The sequence below is a fragment of the Homo sapiens genome, chromosome 17 (genome assembly GCF_000001405.40).
Source record: "Homo sapiens chromosome 17, GRCh38.p14 Primary Assembly".
NCBI classification, from domain to species: Eukaryota; Metazoa; Chordata; class Mammalia; order Primates; family Hominidae; genus Homo; species Homo sapiens.
Genome location: NC_000017.11, coordinates 80,265,312 through 80,292,498, shown reverse-complemented (window position 1 = coordinate 80,292,498; position 27,187 = coordinate 80,265,312). Strand labels below are relative to the sequence as shown.

Sequence of the window (27,187 nt, the reverse complement as noted above, 5' to 3'; positions counted from 1 at the left end):
TCCCAGTGGCCTCCTGGTCACTGCACTTGTCCCTGACCCAGCTCCCAGGCCTTTGCTGCCCCTCTGTTCCCAGCCGCAGCCCTTCTTCTGGCTTCGTTTTCTCTCCTTTCCCTTAATTAAAAATCCTTTCTGGCTGGGCATAGTGGCTTACACCTGTAATCCCAACACTTCGGGAGGTCGAGGAGGGCAGATCACCTGAGGTCAAGGTCCAACATGGTGAAACCCTGTCTCTCTAAAAATACAAAAGTTAGCTGGGGGTGGTGACAGGCTCCTGTAATCCCAGCTACTCGGGAGGCTGAGACAGGAGAACTGCTTGACCCTGGGAGGCGGAGGTTGCAGTGAGCCGAGATCGCACCACTGTACTCCAGCCTGAGCGACAGACTCTGTCTCAGAAAACAAACAAACAAAAAGTCCTTTGCATGTTTCCTCCTGCAAGTGAGTAGGTAAGTCACACTGAGCTCAAAGGAGAAGCCAACACATCTTTAACCAACCAGAGACACAACCCAGAGTCAGTGTCACTGAACCTGGAGGCTGGGGCGGGGTCAATGCAGAGCAAAGAGGACCTCACTGCCCAGGCAAAGTCTGTGCTCTCCAGAGAGACGCGTCCAGTACCGCGGGATTGGCACCTGCACTCCGGAGGGGTGAGCAGACAGCCTGCTGCCACGACTTACCTCCTGAGCCCAGAAGTGAAGATTTTATGAACAGACAGCGGTTGACGTACTCGCCCTTCTTCTGCTGGTGCTTGTAAATGAACTCATACTCAAAAGATTCCCCATTATAAATGACGTACTTGTAAGGAATGTATTTATCTAGGTGCTTCTTGGAAATGCAGACAATGCCTTCAACAAGAACGCGGTCATGACCCAAGTCTCTGTGAATGAACAGGATACGGTTGGCTATCCAAAATTCCTACCCCGGAAATTTTAGTTATTCTCAAACGTAGCATGGAGTGCAAAGCTATAAGTTGATGTGGCAAGGCTGGGTTCAGTGGCCCATGCCTGAAATCCCAACACCATGGGAGGCTGAGGCGGGAGGACTTCTTGAGTCCAGGAGGTCAAGGCTGCATTGACCTGTGATCCCACCACTGCACTCCAGCCTGGGTGACAGAGCAAGACTCTGTCTCAGATAAACAAAGCTGGGCATGATGGCCCAGGAGATTGAGGCTGCAGTGAGTCATGATTGCACTCCAGCCTAGGCAACAGAGCAAGATCCCCTCTCTAAAAAAAAAAAAAAAAATTATAAGAAAGAAAGAAAGAATACTTTTAAAAAGAAAAAGGTCCATGATGGAATATGACACCAAAATGCATGGCCAGGAAGAGCTGTCTGAAATATTCATCTTCCAGAACCCGAAGAATGTCATCAACTCACTGGATAAAAATTATTTAAAGGCTGGGCGCAGTGGCTCATGCCTGTAATCCCAGCACTTTGGGAGGCCTAGGCGGGCGGATCACCTGAGGTCAGGAGTTTGAGACTAGCCTAGCCAGCATTTAGTAGAAACTCCGTCTCTACTAAAAATACAAAAATTAGCCAGGCGTGGTGGTACACACCTGTAGTCCCAGCTACTTGGGAGCTGAGGCATGAGAATCGCTTGAACCCAGGAGGCGGAGGCTGCAGTGAGCTGAGATGGTGCCACCACACTCCAGCCTGGGTGACACAGCAAGACTCCGTCTCAGAAAAAAAAAAAACAAAATTTTTTTAAACTACGTGTCACAGGCTGGGCATCCTATGCCTTCCCTGAGGGATTCCTCCCAAGCCTACAGACACGCTCACCTGGTGTAGTGCAGCTCACAGATATTGCTGTCCCATTTTGACTCCCCAAATTCTTCTCCTCCTCTGATGAAGACTTTATGGAGGTCAGGATTGAATGGGAAATGAAGAGAGATGATGGCGTGGAAGAACACGGTGACTCCTCCACCCGGGCTCAGCGTGCTGGTGGAAAACCAAAACAGAAATCTGATTCCCGTGAGATCTGTCCACCTGCCATGTGCATGCACACACGCGCACACACACACGTGCGCACACACACGTGCACACACACATGCACTCGCACACACACATGCACACACGCGCACACTCGCACACACGCACACACACAAGCACACGTACACGCACACACGTGCACGCACTCACACACGCACACATACATGCACACGCACACACGTGCGCACACACACGTGAACGCACACGCACACACCCACATGCACACACACAGGCACATGGTCCTTGTGTTCGTAATGCACATTATCACACCCTAGCAAACATGCAAGCACGTCCACGTGTGACACACCACCCCCCATGGAGGTCTCTCTTCACTGCCTCCAAAATGGAGGAAGAAGAGGTGGCCACTCCCTGCCCACCTCTGAAGTGCTGGGGACAGTGGCGGGAGGCACCAGCAGGTGTCTGGGCCAGAACAGCCCCTCTCCTGAGTTCCCAAAGGCCCACGCTGGCTCCAGGACCCCAGGGGCTATTAGGAAACAAGAAACTGGCACAGGTGCCCACCCCCCTCCACCTCCTAAGTGGTCCCCTTTTCCCCCAAAGTTAAACTTGCCAAAACAGCTGACTAGAAGGGCAGCCTGGATATCCCCTGAGAGTTGTGCAGGGAGAGGGTGTGCCGGGCTCTCAGGCAGGGTCTCCTTTGCTCCCCTGCGGGGGCATCCCTACCTTGCCTTCACTTCCTGGACATCTGCTTCCTGGTTTTTTTGCTCCTTCTCGTTTTTCACAGCAGCTGCACTTCTGTTCTTCCCCTCTGGCTTCTTGAGGTCTTCAGGCTCCCCTTGTTCATTCTTACCGACTTTTTCTTCAGCAGCAGCCATCTCGTCCTTGGTCTTGGTCTCAGCTTCCTGGAACAAGGAACCAAACCCTGACCTTGAAGGCCGGCCTCCACATTTTCTTTTTTTTTTTTTTTTCTGAGACAGAGTCTCGCTCTTATTACCAAGGCTGGAGTGCAGTACTGCGATCTCAGCTCACTGCAACCTCCGCCTCCCAGGCTCAAGCAATTCTCCTGCGACAGCCTCCCGAGTAGCTGGGATTACAGGCACATGCCACCACGGCTGGCTAATTTTTGTATTTTTAGTAGAGACGGGGTTTCACCATGTTGGCCAGGCTGGTCTTGAACTCCTGAACTCAGGTGATGCACCCGCCTGGGCTTCCCAAAGTGCTGGGATTATAGGTGTGAGCTACCGCGCCTGGCCCAGCCTCCACATTGACCCCTACAGGGGATGCTTCTTACAGCGGCCAGAATGTTCACGACCCTTCCCCGCTCGGGACCTTCCAGTGCCGCTGGGGCCACTAATCACAGCCTCCAGAGGCGCCTCTCTCCAGCCTCATTGGTGGCCTCTCCTCCCCCAACTCCTCCTGGGGGCACTGGCGTCCCTGCCGCTCTGGGAACAGGCCCACCCCACACTGCCCCAGGGCCTCTGCACATGACCTTCCCAGACACCTCCGGGGACCATCCCTCACCACCTCCTAAGAGAGGCCTCGCCCGGCCACTCGGGCTGTGGGTGCCATGGTACCTCGGGGCCCACCTGGGTGCCCTCTCTCCCTCCCTCCACGCTCTTCTCACCGCTGAAGTCGGTTTCCTGACTCTCTCTCCGCTGGAATGTGAGCACCCCGAAGGCCAGAGCTTTGTCTGAATCATGGCTATATCCCCAGCACTTAAATATTTGCTGAATAATTAAATGAAAGAGGCGCAGCCGTGGGCAGGAGAGGGCCTCCTGGAGCCGGCAGGCAGGAAGGAGACGCACCTGGCAGTGTGTTTTGAAAGGAGGAGTGGTTGCTGGTGGCTGTTTCATTCTCTGGGTCTTCTCTTTCATTTCCTTCCCGGCCCCTTTAACTGCATTGGCTGGCTCAGCTACAGCATCAACTGCCTGAAAGACCCCAAACACCAGAGCCAAGGTGACAAAATGGGCCAGGGTGACTCCGACTCAATGGTTTAAGGGGCAGCATCTGCCACAAGCCGAGGGACAGGGTGGGCTGGCATCCCCAGTGGAGGGGCAGCCCTCCGACTCCCACCCAGGGAGCAGGGCCCAGAGGACGCCCCTCCCCCCGGCAGGGAAGCAACGCCAGCACCTTGCAGCAGAGCCCAGGTGCCGAGGGCTCAGTGCCACTCCCAGGCCATCTCTCCCGGATGACTCACCATAGAGGCTGAGGCCCCTGCCTGTTGCTCGGTGGTCTGCAGTTCTGTCCCGGGCTCAGAGCTGCCTCCTTTTGACTCAGGCAACAGGAGCTCCTGGGCAGCATCTTCAGTCCTAGAATGGCCTTCACCAGCAGAGGTGGGGGGACCGGTCCCCTCCTGGGACAGGCCTCTGCCCCCAGAGGGGATGGAAGCGTCCTGGTCCTCCCCTTCCGTGTGGTCCTGGAATTGCGGGCTGCTCTGAGCCTCACTTCCTGTGGCCACTCCTGCCTCTCCCAAAGCCTGGGCCTGCAGGGGGCTGTCGCCAACCTCGGTGGGCGCGGAGAGGCCGTCACCCTCCAGTGGCGTGGTGGCTGTGCCTGGGGGCTGGCTCGGCTGGCCAGTGGGGCCACTCTGCTGGGCTTGGCTGTGGGGCAGGGCTGTGTCCTGAGGCCACGGGTTTGAAAGCAAAGTCAGGTGACAGGGGCTGGCAGGAGAAAGGGGCAAGGAAGCCAGCTCTGAGGAAGCGGACTTGTTCCCCTTCTTTTTCTTCTTCCTTTTCTTCTTTTTGCTCTAAACAGAAAGAGAGACACTCACTTTATTTCTTAGATTTACTCTACTCTAGCCCGTGTTTCCCTCCAACTTTCTCTTCCGTTCCTCAACTACATCAAGCTTGGCTCGACCAAAGTACCTAACATCTGTTAAATCTGCAATTTCCTGGAAAGAATGAAATTAAGAAACAAAAGTGGGGGGTGGGCAGGGTCGGGGCAAGTGGCCTTGAAGCGCTCGCCACACTCGGCACGGTCACGGCCGGGCTGAGACCCTCACACGGGCTCACTGCTTATTGGACATCCACTGAGATGGATTTGTATTTATTTATTTATTTGAGACAAGGTCTCCCTCTGTCGCCCAGGATGGAGTGCAGGGTGCAAACCCAGCTCACTGTAGCCTTGACCTCCTGGGCTCAAGTGATCCTCCCCCATCAACCTCTTGAGTAGCTGAGACTATAGGTGAGCATCACTACGCCCAGCTAATTTTTTGTTGGTTTGTTTTTTGTAGAAACGGGGTTTCACCATGTTGCCCAAGCTGGTTTTGAAATCTCAGGCTCAGGCAATCTGCCCATCTCGGCCTCCCAAGGTCCTGGGATTACAGGCGCGAACCACCATTCCCAGCTGGTTTTAAAAAATGCTCTGTAGAGGCAGAGTCTCCCATGTTGCTCAGGCTGGTCTCCAACACCTAGGCTCAGGCAATCCTCCCATCTTGGCCTCCCAAAGTGTGGGATTACACGCGTGAGCCACCGTGCCTGGCCTGGTTTTGAACATTAGAAAGCACACACAGGCTTTCCACGTTTTATGCACCTCTATAAAAATATTTCGTACATAAAATTTGAAATGAGAAGGATGAGACTAAAAAATGAGTAGCAGCTCCCACCGCACCCTCAGCAGGCACAGCCAGGCTCAAAGGCACATCCAGGTTCAGGTGTACGGTCCCCATTTTGGAACCAGGACTGCGGCTGGTGGGAGGAGGCTGCCAGGACCCTGGGACCCCACAGGCATCTCCCAGGGGGCAGTACTCAGGGGTGCGTGTGGATCAGGTCAGTACAGGAAAGTGACTTGTAGATCCCCTGAAACCTGGTGGTGTGTGATGAGGGCCCCAAACTGCCAGGCAGCAGGTGTGAACCTGTGCCCACTCCACGCCCCCCACCTCCTGCACCCACATACCTGGGAAGACCTGCACACACTGAGGTGCAGCCCAGGGGCTAATCCACCCTCTCCTCAGCAACTGGTAACAAGGGGATGAGGAAGCGCCACAGGATCCCATCACTGCCACTTCAGGAGCCCCTCGGCTGACGGTCGGCCCCTGTGTGGCCCAAGGAGGAGGCTGCGTTCCCACCCACCCAGGGCATGACGAGGCCGCAGCTGGACAGGGCTGCATCCCAGGGCTTCCAGGAGGCCAGGCCGACACTGCAACCCCTTCTCTATCACACATGGCCACACTTCCTGCCAGAACCAGGGCCAGAAATTCCGATTTTCTCCTCCTTTTTAAATTCAGAGGAAACCCATGCTCAGTGTACACAAAGCACAGGAGGCGCCCCCACCCCCCGACCCTCCGACCCATAACATCTCCCCAGGCCACAGCTTGGCTCCAGCCTCCCGCTCGGCCTGCGTCCAACACCGGCCTGCGTCCGACACCAACCCCAGGCCACCAACCCACCACACCGCTGAGAGCACCTGGTCCCATTCCAGGGAGCAAGCACCACTGCTGAAATGGCACACTTGGTGCGTTTGGGTGTGGACAGAGGAGACTCACTCCCAGCGCAGGCTGACTCTAAAACAGGGCCTCACTGAGATCTGGCCACTGCACTCCAGCCTGGGCGACAGAGTGAGACTCCATCTCAAAAATAAAACAATAGGTCAGGTGCGGTGGCTCAGGCCTGTAATCCTAGCACTTTGGGAGGCCGAGGCAGGCGGATCACTGGAGGTCAGGAGTTCGCCACCAGCCTGGCCAACATGGTGAGATCCTCCCCATCTCTACTAAAAACACAAAAAATTAGCTGGGCGTGGTGGCAGGCACCTGCAATCCCAGCTACTTGGGAGGCTGAAGCAGGAGAATTGCTTGAACCCGGGAGGCAGAGGCTGCGGTCAGCCGATATTACGCAACTGCACTCCAGCCTGAGCAATAGAGCAAGACTCCATCTCACAAAAAAAAAAAAGCAACTGCAGAAGCAGCTGCAGAAGAAGAGTCTGGGGCTGGGGCCCAGCACTGTAGAGTGGCGTCATCAGCAGGTATCAGCCTCTGAATGACAGGCTGGTCAGCTGCCGGGGGACCTGCTGAGAGGGGGAAGCAAGAGGCCGTCAAGAAACAGGCAGGTGCTGCACAACCCTTCACTGCAGGCACCCATCGTCCTCAGTGTGCTGAGGAGACCTGGCAGGTGGGGTCCCAGCCCTGAAGACAGCCTCCCCTCGGAGAGGCGATGACGCCGTCCCTGCCCGGCCAGCTGCCTGGTACCTCCGGGGCTGCCATGCAGTGGCGTCTGGGCTGGGTTTAGAGGGCCTGCCTGAGTTCCCATCCAGCTCACCCCATGCTACAATGGCTGGGCAACCCCAGGTGGGTCACTGAGCCACCGTGGGCCTCAGTTTCCCCATCTTTAAAGTGGAGACAGCAGATGTGTCCACATCAGAGCATCACTGAGGGTGACCAAATGGGACAAAGCACACGGAGAGTTGTAGGACACTGCCTGGTACACGCAAGGCCCCCATCAGTGATGCTGTGGTCATGGTCACTGTCCACACACAGCAGGTGTTTGTGGCCACCTGGTGACAGCGCTGGATGGCCCATCCTGGGGAATGGTCCCTTGGCTCTCCCTGTTATCGGCTGCATGGTTTGAGTAACATCAGCCTTACTCTAGCCCCAAGGGCAGCTCTTGTGCGTGGGCTGGTGTCAACCACTGATGTCTATCATCCTGGCCATAGGGACCCACTGGGGGATTGGCCTGTGAGCCAATCAGAGCCAATGAGATTTGAGGAAGCGCTTCCTCTCTCCAGAGGAATCAATCACCAGAGGAGGCGCTGTCTTGTCCCCTGAAGGACAGAGTAGCAGGTGGATCACAGGGGAAGCCACTGTGTGGCACGAGGGAGTAACGGGAAACAGCTGATGAGAGGCTCAGTGGGGGAGCCGTCCGGAAGGCAGAGTAGACAGGGCCGGAGACGCCTGCACCAAGCCTCACCTACAGGCTCGGGGCTCATCAGGTGTGTCCATAATAAACTTCCTCAATGGGATTAGAAAGGTGGAGCTGGGCTTTCCATTATTTGCAATTCAAAGGCTTTTTTTTTTTTCTTTTTTTGAGATGGAGTCTCACTCTGTCACCCAGGCTGGAGTGCAGTGGCACAATCTCAGCTCACTGCAACCTCTGTTTCCCGGGTTCATGCCATTCTCCTGCCTCAGCCTCCTGAGTAGCTGGGATTACAGGCACATGCCACCACGCCCAGCTATTTTTGTTTTGTTTTTGTTTTTGTTTTTTTTGAGACGAAGTTTCACTCTTGTTGCCCAGGCTGGAGTGCAATGGCATGATCTGAGCCCATTGCAACCTCCGCCTCCCCAGCTCAGGTGATTATCCTGCCTCAGCCTCCCAAGTAGCTGGGATTACAGGCACCTGCCATCATGCCCGGCTAATTTTTTTTTTTTTGTATTTTTGTACAGATGGGGTTTCACCATGTTGGCCAGGCTGGTCTTGAACTGACCTCAGGTGATCCACCCGCCTCGGCCTCCCAAAGTGCTGGGATTCCAGGCGTGAGCTACTGTGCCCGGCCGTAATTTTCATATTTTTAGTACAGATGGGGTTTCACCATGTTGGCCAGCTAGTCTTGAACTCCTGACCTCAGGTGATCCACCCACCTCGGCCTCCCAAAGTGCTGTGATTACAGGTGTGAGCCACTGTGCCTGGCCATTACCCAAAGATTTCTAATGGTTAAAATAATCAAACCTCAAATTAAGTTTTTCCCTAATTATGAAAGTTGAAAATAAGCCAAGGTCATGGATGCTCTAGCAGCTTCGATGACATAATCAGGCTCTGGCAGAAATAGACGGAGAATCCTGAGGCTCTGGACCGCCGAGTCACAGCCCGGAACAGGAGGAGCCCACTGAGGCAGGCCCCTGACCACCCCCCACCTCCCACCAGCATGGAAGATGCAGGCCCCCTACCGCTTCTTTCCTTGATGTAGCAAAGGGCTCAGACCTTAGGAACAGCTGCCAGCACCCCTCCCCAGGGCCTGCCTTGCAGGAGGGGAGTGGCCAGCCAGGAAGAAACAGCAGCAGCAGCACACGGAGGTTGGGCAGAGCCCGGGGAGGCTGGAGGCAGGAGCCAGGCCTGGCCTCACTCCCTCTGCCCACAACACGGGGCTGTGGAAAGACTGCAGTAAGCGCAGACGCAACTGCAGGAGAGACCCTTGGAGGGACCGTGATCCAGTTCCTGGAAGACCACTGCCCTCAAGCCGCCATCCCAGAACCTCTTTTCAATAGAAACAAAACCAACCATCTGACATCATCACACCTGCAGGGCTGACACCTCGGAGCAGCAGCCCCAGGCTCACCCCCTCAGCTCTTCCCGTGTGAACTGCCACCTGGCCCTGAGTTAGGGACCACTTACTTCTCGGTGAGGACTGGCCGAGTGCCCTGGTAGGCGCCCTGTGCTGCCAGTGCCTCCTGCTGTCTGCTTTTCCATTGAACAGTTTCATAGTCTTCTTTGACCCAGAATCTCGAACTACATAACCATAGCGGTATTTATAATTTTACGGGGGGTGAGGCTTAGAAGTATTTACATAATTTTATAAATATCCCCCTACATTTTCTAGAGCTTTTAGGATGCTGTTTTACATTAAAATATTGAATCAGGCCAGGCGTGGTGGCTCACACCTGTAATCCCAGCACTTTGAGAGAACGAGGCGGGCGGATCACCTGAGGTCAGGAGTTCGAGACCAGCCTGGCCAACATGGGGAAACCCCATCTCTACTAAAAATACAAAAATTAGCCAGGCGTGGTGGCACACACCTGTAATCCCAGCTACTCTAGAGGCTGAGGCAGGAGAAATCACTTGAACCTAGGAGGCAGAGGTTGCAGTGAGCCAAGATTGCACCACTGCACTCCAGCCTGGGAGACAGAGCAACACTCTGCCTTGAAAAATAGTAATAATAGGCCGGGTGCAGTGGCTCACGCCTGTAATCCCAGCACTTTGGGAGACCGAGGCGGGTGGATCACAAGGTCAGGAGATCCAGACCATCCTGGCTAACACGGTGAAACCCCATCTCTACAAAAATACAAAAAAATTGGCTGGGCGTGGTGGTGGGCGCCTGTAGTCCCAGCTACTCGGGAGGCTGAGGCAGGAGAATGGCGTGAACCTGGGAGGCGGAGCTTGCAGTGAGCCGAGATTGTGCCACTGCACTCCGGCCTGGGCGACAGAGTGAGACTCCATCTCAAAAAATAATAACAATAATAAATAAAAAATAAAAATAAAATATTGAATCAAGCTGGTATACAGTCGGCCCTCTGCAGCCACAGATTCAGCCAACCACAGACAGAAAATACTGGGGAAGAAAACAGAAAATAACGAGACAACAATAACAAAGAACACAAAGAGCAACACCGCACCGTGTAGCAACTGTTCATACAGCATCTATGTCATACAGATGCCTGTGGTAAGGAATCTAGAGATGAATTAAAGTGCATGGTGTCGGGGGCCGGCCTCAGTGGCTCAGGCCTGTTATCCCAATACTTTGGGAGGTCAAGGCAGGCGGATTCCTTGAGGTCAGGAGCTTGAAACCAGCCTAGCCAACATGGCAAAACCCCATCTCTACTAAAAATACAAAAATTAGCCAGGTGTGGTGGCAGGCGCCTATAGTCCCAGCTGCTCGGGAGGCTGAGGCAGGGGACTCGCTTGAACCCAGGAGGCGGAGGTTGCAGGGAGCCGAGATCACGCCATTGCACTCCAGCCTGGGCAAAAGAGAGAGAATCCGTCTCAAAAAATAAAAAAAATAAAAAATTAAGTGTACAGGCGGATGCTGTGGGTTATGTACCAATGCCACGCCGTTTCATATCTGGGACTGGGCATCCTTGGATTTTGGCGTCCTCCGCGGTCCTGGAACCGACCCCCTGTGGGCAACAAGGGACCACTGTGTGTTTCAGTGTGAGTATGAGATGGGTGTGAGTGGGACTTGCGTATGTTGGGGTGTGTGTGAGTGGGGTGAGTGGGGAGTGTGTGTTGGGGGTGTGTGTGAGTGGTGTGAGTTGGCTGTGTGTGTTGGCAGTGTGTGAGTGGTGTGAGTGGGGCGTTTGTCTTGGGGGGTGTGTGAGTGGTATGAGTGGGGCATGTGTGTGTTGGGGTGTGTGTGTGAGTGGGGTGTATGTATGTTGGGGGGTGTGTGAGTGTTGTGAGTGGGGTGTATGTTGCAGGGTGTGTGAGTGGTGTGAATGGGGTGTTTGTCTTGGGGGTGTGTAAGTGGTGTGAGTGGGGTGTGTGTGTGTGTTGAGGTGTGTGTGAGTGGGGTGTGTGTGTGGGGGCGTGTGTGAGTGGTGTGAGTGGGGTATGTGTGTGTGGAGGGTATGTGTGTGGGGGGGAGTGTGAGTGGTGTGAGTGGGGTATGTGTGTTGAGGTGTGTGTGAGTGGGGTGTGTGTGGGGGTGTGTGTGAGTGGTGTGAGTGGGGTATGTGTGTGTGGAGGGTATGTGTGGGGGTGTGTGTGAGTGGTGTGAGTGGGGTGTGGGGGTGTGTGTGAGTGGTGTGAGTGGGGTATGTGTGAGTGGGGTATGTGTGGCGGGGGGTGTGTGTGACTGGGGTGAGTGGAGTGTGTGTGTTTTACCCAAATGCTGAGCCCATGGTCTAGACACCCCACTTTCCACACCCGTGTATACACCCTGACCAACACGCTCCGGTCCGCATATGCAGTGCCCTAACTCCAGCTCACATCTCATGCTCCGTGCGCATCCCCAGGTCGCGCCTCTGTTACTCCGTGGGAATGTTTCCACCCGTGTACGTTGACAGCTTTACTATAAATCTCCCATCCATTTCTCCTCCTCACATCTGTTAAGTATCCTCACCAATTTATAGTTTAAAATCTGTCAACTTCCAAAAATACAAAACGAGGCTAGGGTGGTGGTTTATGCCTGTAATCCCTGCACTTTGGGAGGCTGGGGCGGGAGAATTGCTTGAGCCCAGGAGTTTGAGACCAGCGTGGGTAACACAGCAAGACCCCATCTCTACCAAAAATTTTAAAAATTAATTGGGTGTGGTGGTGCACGCCTGTAGTCCCAGCTACTCGGGAGGCTGAGGCACGAGGATTGCTTGAGCCCAGGAAGTCAAGGCTGCAGTGAGCTATGATTTTGCCACTGCGCTCCAGCCTGGGACCCAGGGCGAGACCCTGCCTCAAAACAAACAAAAACAAAACCCACCAAACCCATTCAGAGCTATACTACTGTTATACATTAATTAGTTGGTTAAGTTCCCGTGTCATTCTGGGTGACAGCAGACATCTCTGCAGTGCTAAACCTTCCATGTTCTCTCTGGGGAAGGGCCCACCTCTCCACGGACTTCACTGTCTGCTGAGCCCGAGCCTTCTTCTCCTCGCATGGCCTATGAATCCATCCTTTATTTTACAAGTTCCTTCTCACATTTTTGTTGCTATTGTGAATGAGCTCTCCACCCACACTGTGCCTTAGGTCTGGCTAAGTCCAGCCCCGTGTGGACGCTGCCTGCATTTCCCAGGAGCTGCAGGAGTGGGCTCACGGCCAAGCCCCAGCCCACAGAGGAAAGAGCATGCCTGCCTTGAAGGCTTCTGCCTACACTTAAGACCTAGGCGTGGTGGATGCTCGGTAAGTCTCCGTTCAATGAACACATGACCATCTCGATGGGCAGGGGCTGGGGGGAGCGCGGTGCGGGGAAGGCAGGGAGGCCGTCGCCCTCTGCAAAAAAGTAATAAACTTCACAAGCATCACTCTTCAAGGTATGAAGCTCCCTTGCTTTTCCCCAAAAGCAAAAGTCCTTTCATTACATGTGTTACCTAATTTCATTTTTGATATTATTAGTGAGTCCTGTAATACTCCTAAATGCTATAGAAAAAGTCAGGATTTGGGGCAGGCACAGTGGCTCACGTCTGTAATCCCAGCATTTTGGAAGGCCAAGATGGGTGGATCATTTGAGGCCAGGAGTTCGAGACCAGCCTGGCCAACATGGTGAAACCCCGTCTCTACTAAAAATACACAAAAAAAGTAGCCGGGCGTGGTGGCAGGTGCCTGTAATCCCAGCTACTCAGGAGGGTGAGGCAGGAGAATCGCTTGAACCCTGCACGCGGAGGTTGCAGTGAACTGAGATCGTGCCACTGCACTCCAGCTTGGGCGACAGAGCGAGACTCTGTCTCAAAAAAAAAAGAAAGAAAGAAAGAAAAGAAAAAGAGAAAAAGTCAGGATTTCAACTTCCAAAAACCAGAGACTAAACTGAGCAGGGCTTCCACTACACCCCCACGTGGCGAGCGCCATCCAAGACCTTGTGTTCAGGCAGAGGCTGGGTCGGGCCCCCACCTGCCTGGGCCTGGCCCTCTAAGCCCCCTTGGGCTCCCCTGCTGCTCTCTGTGGTGAAGCCTGTGTTGCTGGTGGAGCTTTAGCCAGGTGAGTGCAGCCAGGTTAAGTTTCTCCAGGTGTCCAAGGGGACAGCTGCACGGAGTAAAAAGGCAAGTGGAAGGATGTGGGCCAGAAGGGCAAGCACAATAAAGCTGAAATTCACCACTAGCAAAACATCCTCAGAGTCACAAGAGCCAAGCCTGAATCAGCGTTGCTCTTTCACAGCCCAAGGGTGACCCGAAAACGCCCATCCTGGGCAGCCTTCCTCGACTGGCAGGGACTCAAGGGCCGGAAGTGCGAGGTGGCCGTGCCAGGCTGTGCCAGCATGCACCAGGGCAGGGAGCATTCTGCCCAAACTATTGACTCGGACTACCTGCTCACAGTCTGCAGAAGGCACGCTGGCGGCCTCAAGCGGGGCTGCATCCTGCTTCCTTCTCTTGCTGGGTATGGCATTAGCAGCTTCCCATTCATCGGATATGAGGTCTACAGCAGCATCTACCAAAACCTCTGATGTAGCTCCCTGTTGAAACACGACCCCCTTCAGACAGGGCAGGGCTGTGCACCCCACGCACAGCTCCAGTAGACTCGCAAAGACCCCACCTCAGGGGCCACCTCCTCTTGGGAAGGCCCAGGCAGGGACACCCACATGTGGGCACTGACCAGCTTCCCAGCACCGTCTGCCTCCAGGGCCCATGGGCAGGAGGGTGTGGGAAGACGAAGAAGCAGCTCCTGCAGACGTGCAGGACAAGTCCACGTAAGAGGAGAACTGCCCACACCAGAGGCGGCACCCTGCCAGGCTCACGGCACCCTGCCAAGCTCCCAGCACCCTACCAGGCTCCCGGCGCCCCGGGCCTCCACACGAATGCCTTGGCTTGTGCTCAGAGCACAGATGCACTGCAGAGACCGACCCAGAAGGTATAGGCAGGCCCGGGCACCCCAGGGCCAGCCAGGCCAGGCCTCCCAAGCCCCTAGAGGCGGAGGCGGGCAGTCTGGCCCTGTAGCGGGCATGCTCATCCGACACCTCCCTTCCACACCACACCGGGCATCGCCGGGAGACCTCACAGCAAGACGCCCAGCAGGAAGCTGAGGAAAGGAAGCTCCACCAGCAGCCTCCTGGCCTGCCGATGCCTCCAACCCAAATGACCCCTGGCTCCGGCAGTCTCCTCTTCCCTCACCACAGGAAGTACAACCCAGCAGCCAAGCCCAGTAGCCTCTCCAGAGGAAGAATGCACAAAGGACACCCTGTTAGTCAGCAACCAGCGGCCACCAAAGGAGAGGCCAAGTGGAGGATGGCTGTGCCAAGGGACAGGCGCGGGCCCCTCTCTGTGCGCCCTTTCCCTCTCCACCCACCCCATGACTGCAGGTGAGGACTGACCACCTGACTCTGCTGCAGGGTGAGGCTGGCCACGCAGCTCGCTGTCTCAGCTTCTGGGGCCGCCTCCCTTGGCTCCTAGCACCCTCCTCACCATGGTTAGAATGCGGCGTCTGCGCTTAGAGCACCGTTCACGCATACACTGCTCTCAGCTTCAGAATTCAATAGGCTCCCTGTGGGATTGGGAAAATGCGCAAAAGCCCCTGTAAACTCATCACCAGAGACAACCCATCGGCATTCACCTGTGTATTCACTCTGAACTTCTCTCATGTGTGGATATGTGGATATTTAGGCTTTTTTTTTTTTTTTTTTTTTTGAGACAGAGTCTCACTGTCGCCCAGGCTGGAGTGCGGTGTCTCAATCTCGGCTCACTGCAACCTCTGCCTCCTAGGTTCAAGCAATTCTCCTGCCTCAACCTCCTGAGTAGCTGGGATTACAGGCAAGCACCACCACACCCGGCTACTTTTTGTATTTTTAGTAGAGACGGGGTTTCCCCATGTTGGTCAGGTTGGTCTTGAACTCCTGACCTCAAGTGATCCACCCGCCTCAGCCTCCCAATGTGCTGGGATTACAGGTGAGAAGCCACCGGGCCTGGCCCTAGTTCCCATTTTCTTCATCCCAGAAAGAAATCCCACAGCAATGACTCCCTCCTCCCCACTCCTCCCAGCCAACCACTAATCTGTGTTCTGTCTCCATGGGTGAGTCTATCGTGGATATTTCATATCAAAGGAATCATACATGGCCTCTTGTATCTGGCTTCTTTCATTTAGCATGTTTTTGGGGTCCATCCAGGCTACAGCACAGATCCATATCGTATTCTTTTTTTGTTTTTTTTTTGGTTTGTTTGCTTTGTTTTGAGAGTGAGTCTCGCTCTGTTGCCAGGCTGGAGTGCAGTGGTGCGATCTCGGCTCACTGAAACCTCCCCCTCCCGGGTTCAAGTGATTCTCCTGCCTCAGCCGCCCAAGTAGCTGGGATTACAGGCATACGCCACCACGCCCAGCTAATTTTTTTTTTTGTATTTTTAGTAGAGACGGGGTTTCACCATGTTGGCCAGGATGTTCACAATCTCCTGACCTCGTGATCCACCCACCTCAGCCTCCCAAAGTGCTGGGATGACAGGTGTGAGCCACCGCGCCCGGCCTAGGATAATTTTATGCGTAACTTTTGGATCAACTGCCTTGCTGCTTCCTTAACGGCTGCAGCGTTTAACATTTCCACCAACACTGTACAACACTTCCAATTTCTCCACATCCTCATCAACATTTCCTATTGTCTTTCCTTCCTTCCTTCTCTCTCTCTCTCTTTGAGGAAGGATCTCACAGTCACCCAGTGAGCCACCGCGCCTGGCCTCTTTTATTGTTCTCTTGTTCATGTCGGTTTTCTCTTGTTCAAGATTCCCTAGAAAATGTCTTCATTCTTTTCACATCTTCTGTGTCAACTCTACATTTTACAAATTCAAGCAGATTTCCACTAGTAAAAAAATTTAAAACATTAAAAAATAAATAAAAAATAGGGCAGGCGTGGTGGCTCACGCCCGTAATCCCAGCACTTTGGGAGGCTGAGGTGGGCAGAGCACCTGAAGTCAGGAGTTCAAGACCAGCCTGACCAACATGGAGAAACCCCGTCTCTACTAAAAATACAAAATTAGCCAGACATGGTGGTGCATGCCTGTAATCCCAGCTAGCTGGGAGGCTGAGGCAGGAGAATCGCTTGAACCCGGGAGGTGGAGGTTGCTGTGAGCCAAGGTCACGCCATTGCACCCTAGCTTGGCAACAGGAGCGAAACTCCATCTCAAAAATAAATAAATAAATAAATAAAACAAAAAATAAATAAATAAATAAATAAATAAAGTCTATGTTCCTTTGGCTTGTTGCCAATTAGTAGTTTGATAGAGATTTCCTTAAACACCTACAGCCAAAACATGGAAAAGAAAAAAGAAAAAAAAAAACTGGCCAGGCATGGTGGCTCACGCCTGTAATCCCAACATTCTGGGAGGCCGAGGCGGGTGGATCACAAGGTCAGGAGATCGAGACCATCCTGGCCAACATGGTGAAACCCCGTCTCTACCAAAAATACAAAAAATTAGCCAGGCGTGGTGGCGGGTGCCTGTAGTCCCAGCTACTCCGGAGGCTGAAGTAGGACAATCACTTGAACCTGGGAGGCAAAGGTTGCAGTTGAGCTGAGATGGCGCCACTGCACTCCAGCCTGGGCAAAGGAGTGAGACTCCATCTCAAAAAAAAATAAAATAAAATAAAGAAAAAATAATACTCTCTCAGTCTCTGTAGACTGGCCCTGAGTTGGGACACTCCTCCCACACTCAGCCTTCCTTCCAGCCTGCACTGAGGTCTTCTCAGGTCTTTTTCGAGTGCGTCCTGCTCGAGCATTTGTGTGGCTTTCTAGATTCCTCATTATTCATGGAAACTTTTCAAAATTTTATTCCCCCAAGTAACTCAATTCTTAGCTTTTCCTCTGTCTTTGGGCGGGTTTATTGTTTGCCCCAGATGGCAAAGGGTTTATTCATTTGCCTTCAATGTTTTCAAGGAACACCATCCGTACTGCCACTTTCCCACTCTGACAGAGTTCCAAATTAGGCATAAAAAGGGAGTTACCCAAACCTTCCGCATCCCATGTGCTCCAGGCTTGGGGGTGGCCTTGGCTGCTCTGGAAGGGATTATTCTCCAAGGGAATGACACAAGCACACACACACCCCACTCCCACACACCCCAACATACACACACATCCCACTCACCCCACACACACTCCCAACACACACACACCACTCACACACACCCAACACGCACACACCCAACACACACACACCCAACACACCCCACTCACACACCCCCAACTCACACACCAACACACACCCCCAACACACACACACCCCACTCACACACCAACTCACATACCCCAACACATACACACACATCCAACACACACACCCCAACACACACACCCCCCACTCACACACCCAACACACACACCCCACTCACACCCCACTCACACACCCCCAACACACACACATCCCATTCACACCACTCACACACCCCCCAACACACACCCCACTCACCCCCCACTCACCCCCCACAGACACCCCCCTCACCCCCCACTCACCCCACTCATCCCCCACAGACACCCCACTCACACCCCACACTCACCCCACTCACCCCCCACAGACACCCCACTCACCCCCCACACTCACCCCACTCACCCCCCCCAGACACCCCACTCACCCCCCACACTCACCCCACTCACCCCACACACTCACCCCACACCCCCCACAGACACCCCACTCACCCCCCACACTCACCCCACTCACCCCCCACAGACCACAGCACTGCGGCTGCATCACTTCCCACCATAGCCCAACCATGGAGTGCCACCTACAAGGAACGACAGACAGAAAGCCAGCCCCAGTGCAGACACAGAAAGACAGCTTCCCCTTCTCCGTGCCCAGCAAGAAACCCGGGAGCTGACACTGCCCTCTGGGTCTTCCCAGGCCGCGCTAGAGCCCAGGAGCCCTTCTCTTCCAACCATTCTCCTTGAACATGTCCAGGACGCTCCCCTCGAAAGCCTCGCCTAGTGCTCCAACTGGGAATCTTAACAAGGACGCATTCTCTTGGTGTCTAACGCCTAAGAGGCTGTTCAAGGCCAGAGGGAGCCAAAAGGTGGCTCAGCCATACCCTTCCAAGAAGGGTAACCTGCCAGCCAGCACATTTCCAGAGCACCCACCCCACACCCAAAGCTTCAAAGCCCCTCTGGGCACGCACCCTCAATGCAGAGGCCTACAGAAGCGCAAGACACGCACCCAGCGGACGCTCAGGTCCCTGCCCCGAAGCAGCAAGGCACCTCTGAGCTTGCACCCTCAATGCAAAGAGACCCACAGAAGCTTGGGACACAGATACACACGGCAGAAGCTCAGGCCCCACCCCAGCCACAGCTTCTGGGAGACACACGAGTATTGGGTCTGGTAGAAAGAAAAGGAAGGTGGAGGCCGGGCGCGGTGGCTCACACCTGTAATCCCAGCACTTTGGGAGGCCGAGGTGGGTGGATCTCCTGAGGTCAGGAGTTTGAGACCAACCTGACCAACATGGTGAAACCCCGTCTCTACTAAATACAAAAAAATTAGCTGGTCGTGGTGGTGCATGCCTGTAGTCCCAGCTACTTGGGAGGCTGAGGCAGGAGAATTGCTTGAAACCAGGAGGTGGAGGCTGCAGCGAGCCGAGATCGCACCACTGCACTCCAGCCTGGGCAACAAGAGCGAAACTCTGTCTCAAAAAAAAAAAAAAAAAAAAAAAGACGGTGGAGGCCCCAGGGGGTCTGGAACCCACAGACTCCAGCCAGAGATGAATCAGGTGCAGAAGGGGCAGCTCTGCTGCTGCCCTGTGGGCAGGTTCAATGGGCTGGGCCATGGTGGCATTTTCGGGGGCTAGCTGGGCAGCTGTGCAGTGAGATTTTCCTGGGCAGAGTGAGCGGGGGCGGAGGGGAGCCGAGGCAGTGCACTCACTTCTTGGACGGTCCAGGAGGCTTTGGAACAGGGCTCCTCGGGGTTTTCTTGCCAACTGTCTGAGCCCGGGAACAAGCACGGGCCCCCTTCCTCCTTCAGCTCCTGCCCACACTCCATTTCACCCTCCGAGGCCGACGCCATTGTGGAGTTATTGTTCTCAGAATCTGTAACGGCAGATGAAGGAAGGGTCAGATCTCAGAGAGAAGCGAGTGTTAGGAAGGAAAAACAGAAATCCTCCCCACGAGTGCATGGAGAGATTCACCCTGTTCTCCCTCCGAGGTCCTGCATTGGGCCTGCTAACATGAGCAGGGTAGGGGTTCTGCTCCAGGTGGGTAGGAGGGAACCAGGGACCCCAGTTTCAGCACAACAAGGGGTGAATCAGACAGAAAGACTGTGCCGTCCTAGCATCCAGCCTCTTCCTCCCAATGTCCACGAGTGGATTCACCTGACTCTGTACTAGGATGTCAGCGCACCTCGGGCACCTCTAAAACAGAGCCTGTTACGCTTTCCTCCCCTACTGTAGACATTCCTCCTGTCTTCCCCAGGGTGGGCATTCTCCCAGTGGCGGCCCAGGGGTCTCAAACTGCTTCCCTTGTCCTGGCACTAAGGCATCTGCCCGCCCAGCTGCTCTGCCTCCAGATTCTCACCCATGCAGAGCTGCCATGCAGACAGCATGGAGCACCCACTCTGCCAGCCCCACACTCACTCTAGCCTTCATTGTGGTGTGGACGCACTTTGTCCATCCCCACCAAAACTCATGTTGATCCCCAGTATGCCAGTGCTGGGAGGCAGGGCTGCGGGGAGGTCTGTGGGTCGTGAGGGCAAATCCCTCACGAATGGCTTGGTGCCGTTTGCGGTCATGGGTTTACTCTTGAGAGGCTTGTTTACTCCCCTCGGGAATGGATTAGCACCCGCCAGGTGGGTTGTTATGAAGTCAAGATGTCCCATCAGGCTTAGTCTTTCACAGCTGTCAGCATCCCCGTCGGCCTACTCTGCCATGTGGCACAAAAGCCCTCACCAGACATCAGGGCCAGGCCCTGAACTTCTCAGTCTGCAGAACTGTGAGCTAAATAAACCTCTTTTTTCTTTTTCTTTTTTTATTTTATTTTATTATTTTTTTTGAGACAGAGTCTTGCTCTGTCGCCCAGGCTGGAGTGCAGAGGCACAATCTTGGCTCACTGCAACCTCTGCCTCCCAGGTTCAAGCAATTCTCCTGCCTCGGCCTCCCAAGTAGCTGGGATTACAGGTGCATGCCACCACACCCGGCTAATTTTTGTGTTTTTAGTAGAGACAGGGGTTTCAGCATCTTGGCCAGGATGGTCTTGAACTCCTGACCTCATGATCCACCCGTCTTGCCCTCTCAAAGTGCTGGGATTACAGGTGTGAGCCACCCCACCCGGCCTCTTTTCTTTTTTCTTCTTTTTTGAGACGGAGTCTCGCTCTGTCACCCAGGCTGGAGTGCAGTGGTGCAATCTCGGCTCACTGCAACCTCCACCTCCTGGGTTCAAGTGATTCTCCTGCCTCAGCCTCTGGAGTAGCTGGGATTACAGGCATGCGCCACCACACCCAGCTAATTTTTTTTGTATTTTTAGTAGAGACGGGGTTTCACCATGTTGGTCAGGCTGGTCTTGAACTCCTGACCTCGTGATCCGCCCACCTCGGCCTCCCAAAGTGCTGGGATTACAGGCTTGAGCCACCACACCCGGCCTTTTCTTTTTCAATTACCCAGGCTCGGGTACTCTTATGGCAACAGAAAATGGACGAAAACACCCTTCAAGGAGTCCCTGTTTTCAATCCTGGGTCTGGACGACCCCACCTCTCCCTGACACACACTCCAGATGGTGCCAGGCCAAGCCTGCTTTTCTGTACAGAACCTTCCCTCTGCCTGATCCCCACAGACCCTTCTCCAAGGCCCCAAGCCAGTCCCAGCTGCGCCCCTGTCTGGACACTTCATCCCCACGCCCGTTTCCAGCACCTGGTTTCGTCACTGCCCTCTCCTCCTCTGAGATCTGGAGGGCAGGGACCACGCAGACCTTTTTCCCTTTGAGTACTCAGTGTTGGCGTAGCCAAGAGCTCAAGAATTCGTGAAGTTCCTTAGCAGGACTCAAAATTGATAACAAATCCTCTAAACGTCTACATACATAAGACACACATGAAACATCACAGCCAGAAAGTAAGAGCTGGAGAAAGATCTGCAACAGGCGACCCAAGGCCCCATCCTTCGAGAGCTGCTGTTTCACCTACAACCAGGGATTCTGAGCCTGCCCCTCCCACCAACCTACCCTCCCACCAACCTACCCTCCCACCAGGGGCGGGCCCTGACTAGCCTAATCCAATCAGGGCCGATATTTACCCTGGCACTAGTGATTGACTAAGGGAAGGGCCAACCAGCAAGAAGTATGGAAGCATCCATACTTCTGGACCCTTACTGGGGTTTCTGCCACTCAGTGCATCCTGGAAAGACCATGAGGTGGTGCTGGGAAACCACTGTCTGTTCTCCTCCACCTGCAGACAAAGCTGGCAGTGGAGAAGGGCAGAGCTGTCAGGATCAGAGAAATGGAGCAAAGCCCTAGTACACTTGAACCCCTCAAGCCTGGACTTGGGCAACGGTGACCCAGCACGTTTCTCTTGCTGAGCAAGCCTAGGAGAGCTGGGTTTCAGGCTGTTCCCAGTATAAACAGTCCCAACAATCATAAGGACCAACCAAAGCAAAACGAGCTTCCCTAAAGACAGACAGGCCGCTCAAGGAAATACACATACATGTGGTCTCTTAACTTCCAAAGAGATGCCTGCCATGCCTACTGATGAAGGAAATCAGAACGGAGGCCCTGCAGTGCCATTTCCACCCAACGACCGGCACAGATTGACAAGATCCATCATTCTGAACGCTGGAGAGAATCTGAATAGAAATCTAGAAGGCAGGGAGCACAGAGACGCGGCCAGTGAGTGGCCAGAGAAGCTTTGTGCAGGGGATTTGAAGAGATTTGCATTGTAAATGTGCCAGCCTGAAGCCAGCAGGCTAGTGGCTGGGAATCTGTCCTCCAGACGGCCAGCCTGGCTCAGAGGGCAAGGTCTCCGTGCAAGCATGCAGCCTAGCAGCCTATGTCACGGCAAAACAGCAGGACAAGGGAAGTGCCCAGGATAGGCCTGTTGCTGAGTCAGGCCCTGCTGGGTGGCAGAGCCAGGGAGGCTGCTGAGGTCCGTCCTCCACTAGAGGCCTCAGCCACTGTACATGAAAGTAGCAAGGCATGCGCAGGGCACGAGCTGCCACTCACATTAACGTGTGTGTGTGTGCGCACACATTCACGCAGAGGAGATGTCTAGAAGAGGACACACCAGTTTACAGTGTTGCTCTGGGGAATGTGACAGTCCTGGCCCAGGGTGAGGAAACTTCGTGCTATTTTATGTCCTCCTGTAACATGTGGGTCATTTGCCAACCAGCATTTACATTTTTATTGTCATAAAAGTAAGTAGCTGGATTCAGAAATAAGAGACATACTTAACTAGCACTTCCTAAACAATGTACATGTTAACTCATTAAATACTCACAGTATAGAACAGGGTTATCCAGAGAGCAGAACTATAGAATATGTAGGTAGGTAGGTAGACAGGTAGATAGGTAGATACATGGATGGATGGACGGATGGATAGATAAGATGGGATGGATAGATAAGATGGGATAGATGAATGGATAGATACATAAGATAGATACATAGATAGAACAGATGAATGGATGGATGGATAGATTGATGGATGAATAGATAGATAAGCTAGATGAATGGATAGACAGATGATAGATAAACAGATAGGATGGACGGATAGATAGTATAGATGGATGGACAGATAGAATAGATGGATAGATGAATGGATGAATAGAAAGAGGATGGATGGATAGATAGAATAGATGAATGGATGGATGGATAGATAGAATAGATGAATGGATGGATGAATAGATGGATGGATAGATAGAATAGATGAATGGATGGATGGATGGATAGATGATAGGACAGATGGATAGGTGGATAGATAGATAGGGTAGGTGGACAGATAGGGTAGAGGGATGGATAGACGGTGTGATGGTTAATATCAGGTGTCAATTTGATTGGGTTGAAGGATGCCTAGGTAGTTGGTAAAGTATTGTTCTGGTTGTGTCTGTGAGGGTGTTGTCAGAGGAGACTGACATTTGAGTCAATGGCCTGGGAGAGGAAGACCCACCCTCTATGTGGGTGGGCAGCATCCAGTCAGCTGCCAGCGTGGCTAGAACAAAGCAGGCAGAAGGTGGGGTAAGCTGGCTCGCTGAGTCTTCTGGCTTTCATCTTCCTCCTATGCTGGATGCTTCCTCACGTTCCTCTTGCCCTTGGACATCACACTTCAGGTTCTTTGGCCTTTGGAAACTTGGACTTACGCCAGTGGTTTGCCAGGGGGATCTCGGGTCTTCAGCCACAGACTGAAGGCTACACTGTCGGCTTCCCTGCTTTTGAGGCTTTTGGACTCAGACTGAGCAACTACTGGCTTCTTTCTTTCCCAGCTTGCAGACGGCCTACCATGGGACTTCACCTTGTGATTGTGTGAGCCAATTCTCCATAATACACTCCCTTTCTTACAGACATAGATCCTATTAGTTCTGTCCCTTTAGAGAACCCTAATACAGACTTATAGATAGATGGATAGATAGGATAGATAGATAAGATGGATGGATAGGTACATGGATGAATGGATGGATGGATAATTGATAGAAGACAGATGACAGATAGATAGACAGATAAACGGATGGATGGATGGATGGATGGATGGACAAACAGATGGATGAGAGAGGATGTATTAGGAGAATTGGCTCACACGACTATGGAGGCTGAGAAATCACCATTTGATTAAGCTTACGATCATTCATTTTCATTCCCAAGATCCACCCGTCTTCCACAAAGGCCAAATAGGGGAGGTGAATGGGAATCCCCACCCCTGCATCTTTGGAGTGCTTGGTGGTGGCACTAATCCCTGCAGTCCCTCCGGGGATGCAGTACTGCCTTTTTTTTTTTTTTTTTTTTTTTTTCTGAGACAGGGTCTCACTGTCGACCCAGGCTGGAGTGCAGTGGTATGATCACGGCTCACTGCAGCGTTGACCTCCTGGGCTCCAGCAATCCTGCCATGCACACCCATGCTCACTGTAGCACGATTCACAATAGCCAAGATATGGAATCCACCAACTATCCAACAATGGACGTTGAAGAAAATGTGGTACATATACATAATGGAACACTACTCGGCCTTAAAAAAGAATAAAATTGGCCAGGTGCAATGGTTCATGCCTATAGCCCCGGTACTTTGGGAGGCAGAGGCAGGGGGATCACTTGAGGTCAAGGAGTTGGAGACCAGCAATGCTAATATGGAGAAACCCTATCTCTAATAAAAAATACAATATTAGCCGGAAGTGGTGGCACACACCTGTAATCCCAGCTACTTGGGAGGCTGAGGCAGGAGAATTGCTTGAACCTGGGAGGCGGAGGTTGCAGTGAGCTGAGGACCAGCCACTGCACTCCAGCCTGGGAGACAGACCAAGACCCTGTCTCAAAAAAAAAAAAAGAAAAGAAAATCTGCTGTTGAGTAGAGCCACCTCCATCAATAACCTTAGCCAGATCTGGAGAACTTACTGCAGCTTCTCCAGCAGCACTCGCTGCTTCACCTTGCACTTTTATGTTATGGAGATGACTGCTTTCCTAAAACCTCATAAACCAGTCTCTGCTAGCTTCAAGATCTTCTCTGCAGCCTCCTCAACTCTGTCAGCCTGTGTGGAATTGTGGCTACAGGAGAGTTAGGGCTTTACTGTGGATTCGGCTGTGGTTTAAGGGAATGTTGTGACTGGTTTGACCTCTCCAGACATTGCAAACTCTCTCCATATCACAATAAGGCTGTTTCACTCTCTAATCATTTGTGTGTTCATTGGAGTAGCACTTTTTTTCTTTTTTGGGATGGAGTCTCGCTCTGTCGCCAGGCTGGAGTGCAGTGGCGTGATCTCGGCTCACTGCAACCTCCACCTCCTGGGTTCAAGTGATTCTCTCCTGCCTCAGCCTCCCGAGTAGCTGGGACTACAGGTACACGCCACCATGCCTAGCTAATTTTTGTATTTTTAGTAGACATGGGTTTTCACCATATTGGCCAGGATGGTCTCTTTTTTTTCTTTTTTTTTTTTGAGACAGAGTCTCGCTGTTGTCACCCAGGCTGGAGTGCAGTGGCACAATCTCAGCTCACTGCAACCTCCGTCTCCTGGGTTCAAGCAATTCTTGTGCCTCAGCCTCCCAAGAAGCTGGGATTACAGGCATGAGCCACCACACCCAGCTAATTTTTGCATTTTTAGTAGAGACGGGGTTTCACCACGTTGGCCAGGCTGGTCTCAAACTCCTGACCTCAGGTGATCCACCTACCTCAGCCTCCCAAAGTGCTGGGGGCACTTTTAATTTCTTTCAAAAACTTTTCCTTTGCATTTACAACTTGGCTAACCATTTGGTGCAAGAGGCCTAGCTATCAGCCTATCTCAGCTTTCAACATGCCTTCCTCAAGAAGCTTAATCATGTCTAACTCTTGATTTAAAGTGAGAGACATGAGGCCAGGTGCGGTGGGTGGCTCACACCTGTAATCCCAGCACTTTGAGAGGCCAAGGTGGGCGCATCACTTGAGGTCAGGAGTTTGATACCAACCTGGCCAACATGGTGAAACGCCGTCTCTACTAAAAATATAAAAAATAGCTGAGGGTGGTGCCTCACGCCTGTAATCCCCGCTACTTGGGAGGCTGAGGCAGGAACATCACTTGAACCTGGGAGGTAAAGGTTGCAGTGAGCTGAAATGGCACCACTGCACTCCAGCCTGGGTGACAGAGCAAGACTCTGTCTCAAAACAATGAAATAAAATTTTAAAAAATAAAGTGAGAGGCAAGAGACTTTTCATTTGAGCACTGAGAGACCACTGTAAGGCTTTTTTTTTCCTTTTCTTTTCTTCTAAGACAGGGTCTCACTCTGTCACCCAGGCTGGAGTGCAGTGGGACAATCATGGCTTACTGCAGCCTCGACTTCCCAGGCTCAAGTGATCCTCCTGCTCCAGCTAATTCTTGTATTTTTTTTTCTTTTTTTTTTTTGTAGAGATGGGGCTCCACCATGTTGCTTAGGCTGCTCTCGAACTCCTGGGCTCAAGCGATCTACTCACCTCGGCCTCCCAAAGTGCTGGGATTACAGGCGTGAACCACCACGCCTAGTAAGGTGGGCCACCTTTTGATCCATGTTTCAGCCAACCAAACAAAGACTCAGAGGCCTTCCTAACTCTACCAGCTGCAACATGAAATGCATAATCTCTGCTAGTGGGCCCACACTACTAAACTCAACCTGACTCAACTTTATATCATTTGGAACTCAATGTCTCCAGCCTGGCCATGGGCTTCCCATGTCCCCATCCCAACTTGAAGGATCCCTTCCTTTGCCACCCAATGTCCTCACTTTTTTTTTCTTGTAATACAGAGATGGAGTCTTTCTACATTGCCCAGGCTGGTCTCAAACTCCTAGGCTCAAGTGATCCTCCCACCTTGGCCTGCAAACATGCTGGGGTTGTAGGTGTGAACCACGGCATCCGGCTTAAGTGCCCCCACTTTAACAGCAGACGCCCTGCATGCCTGGAAGCTCAGCTTTCATTTTAACTCAGCTAATCGCGTGAGAGCTGGTGCTCGATTTTCTACAATTTCAACCCTGTGGCTACAGGAGAGAAGATTCTGATCCAGGGCACACTAAGAAACTCTCAGATCATTTATGCAGAGCTGCAGCCCAGACATCGAATCCCTGAGTTCATCCTTTTCACCACTTTCTCAGTGACGCTGGGGGCAACCAGCCAGCATCACTGTATTTCTTGGTTTTCGATAAATGTTCAAAAGCATCATGTACAGAGTCACCAAATTCCTGGCCTCTTACAAGTGGTGAATTAGGAGTCTCAAGTGCATTTGCTTTGCATGCCTCTAGAAACAGTTCATGCTGCGCACTACCAGTGCTCTCCGCACTATTATTAATAGAAGTGGAGCCCTTAGGCTGGGCGCGGTGGCTCACGCCTATAATCCCAGC

At 52.9% G+C, this 27,187-nt stretch overlaps 1 protein-coding gene across 12 annotated transcripts in view, besides 5 other annotated features; it reads right to left on the bottom strand.

Moving 5' to 3' along the window:
• RNF213 (ring finger protein 213) overlaps positions 1 to 27,187 on the bottom strand; it is a 137,943-nt gene that overhangs the window by 106,296 nt on the left and 4,460 nt on the right. For 7 of the 12 annotated variants that reach the window (XR_007065355.1, NM_020914.5, NM_001410195.1 and 4 more), the window contains exons 3-9: positions 19,095 to 19,258; positions 13,589 to 13,735; positions 4,136 to 4,684; positions 3,744 to 3,866; positions 2,662 to 2,840; positions 1,771 to 1,929; positions 672 to 871 (exon numbers count right to left, since the gene is read on the bottom strand). Coding sequence is in view for 11 of the 12 variants with exons in the window: in NM_020914.5 (NP_065965.5) it covers positions 672 to 871; positions 1,771 to 1,929; positions 2,662 to 2,840; positions 3,744 to 3,866; positions 4,136 to 4,684; positions 13,589 to 13,735; positions 19,095 to 19,258 (1,521 nt within the window). In the remaining variant the exon portion in view is untranslated. Of the gene's footprint in view, positions 1 to 671; positions 872 to 1,770; positions 1,930 to 2,661; positions 2,841 to 3,562; positions 3,703 to 3,743; positions 3,867 to 4,135; positions 4,685 to 13,588; positions 13,736 to 19,094; positions 19,259 to 27,187 lie in introns of those variants that run through there. The other 5 variants (NM_001256071.3, XM_047436482.1, NM_020954.4 and 2 more) reach the window with 2 other exon arrangements.
• Positions 7,205 to 7,765: an enhancer, noted in NCBI's record as "H3K4me1 hESC enhancer chr17:78258533-78259093 (GRCh37/hg19 assembly coordinates)". NCBI's record gives its function as "activates a minimal SCP1, AML or CMV promoter by ChIP-STARR-seq in primed H9 embryonic stem cells {active_cell/tissue: H9 hESC(primed)}" and the evidence as "EXISTENCE:reporter gene assay evidence [ECO:0000049][PMID:30033119]".
• Positions 13,859 to 14,477: an enhancer, noted in NCBI's record as "H3K4me1 hESC enhancer chr17:78251821-78252439 (GRCh37/hg19 assembly coordinates)". NCBI's record gives its function as "activates a minimal SCP1, AML or CMV promoter by ChIP-STARR-seq in naive H9 embryonic stem cells {active_cell/tissue: H9 hESC(naive)}" and the evidence as "EXISTENCE:reporter gene assay evidence [ECO:0000049][PMID:30033119]".
• Positions 17,863 to 18,461: an enhancer, noted in NCBI's record as "H3K4me1 hESC enhancer chr17:78247837-78248435 (GRCh37/hg19 assembly coordinates)". NCBI's record gives its function as "activates a minimal SCP1, AML or CMV promoter by ChIP-STARR-seq in naive H9 embryonic stem cells {active_cell/tissue: H9 hESC(naive)}" and the evidence as "EXISTENCE:reporter gene assay evidence [ECO:0000049][PMID:30033119]".
• Positions 21,351 to 21,400: a silencer, noted in NCBI's record as "silent region_9107". NCBI's record gives its function as "represses an Ori minimal core promoter by ATAC-STARR-seq in GM12878 lymphoblastoid cells {active_cell/tissue: GM12878}" and the evidence as "EXISTENCE:reporter gene assay evidence [ECO:0000049][PMID:35858748]".
• Positions 26,829 to 26,878: an enhancer, noted in NCBI's record as "active region_12934". NCBI's record gives its function as "activates an Ori minimal core promoter by ATAC-STARR-seq in GM12878 lymphoblastoid cells {active_cell/tissue: GM12878}" and the evidence as "EXISTENCE:reporter gene assay evidence [ECO:0000049][PMID:35858748]".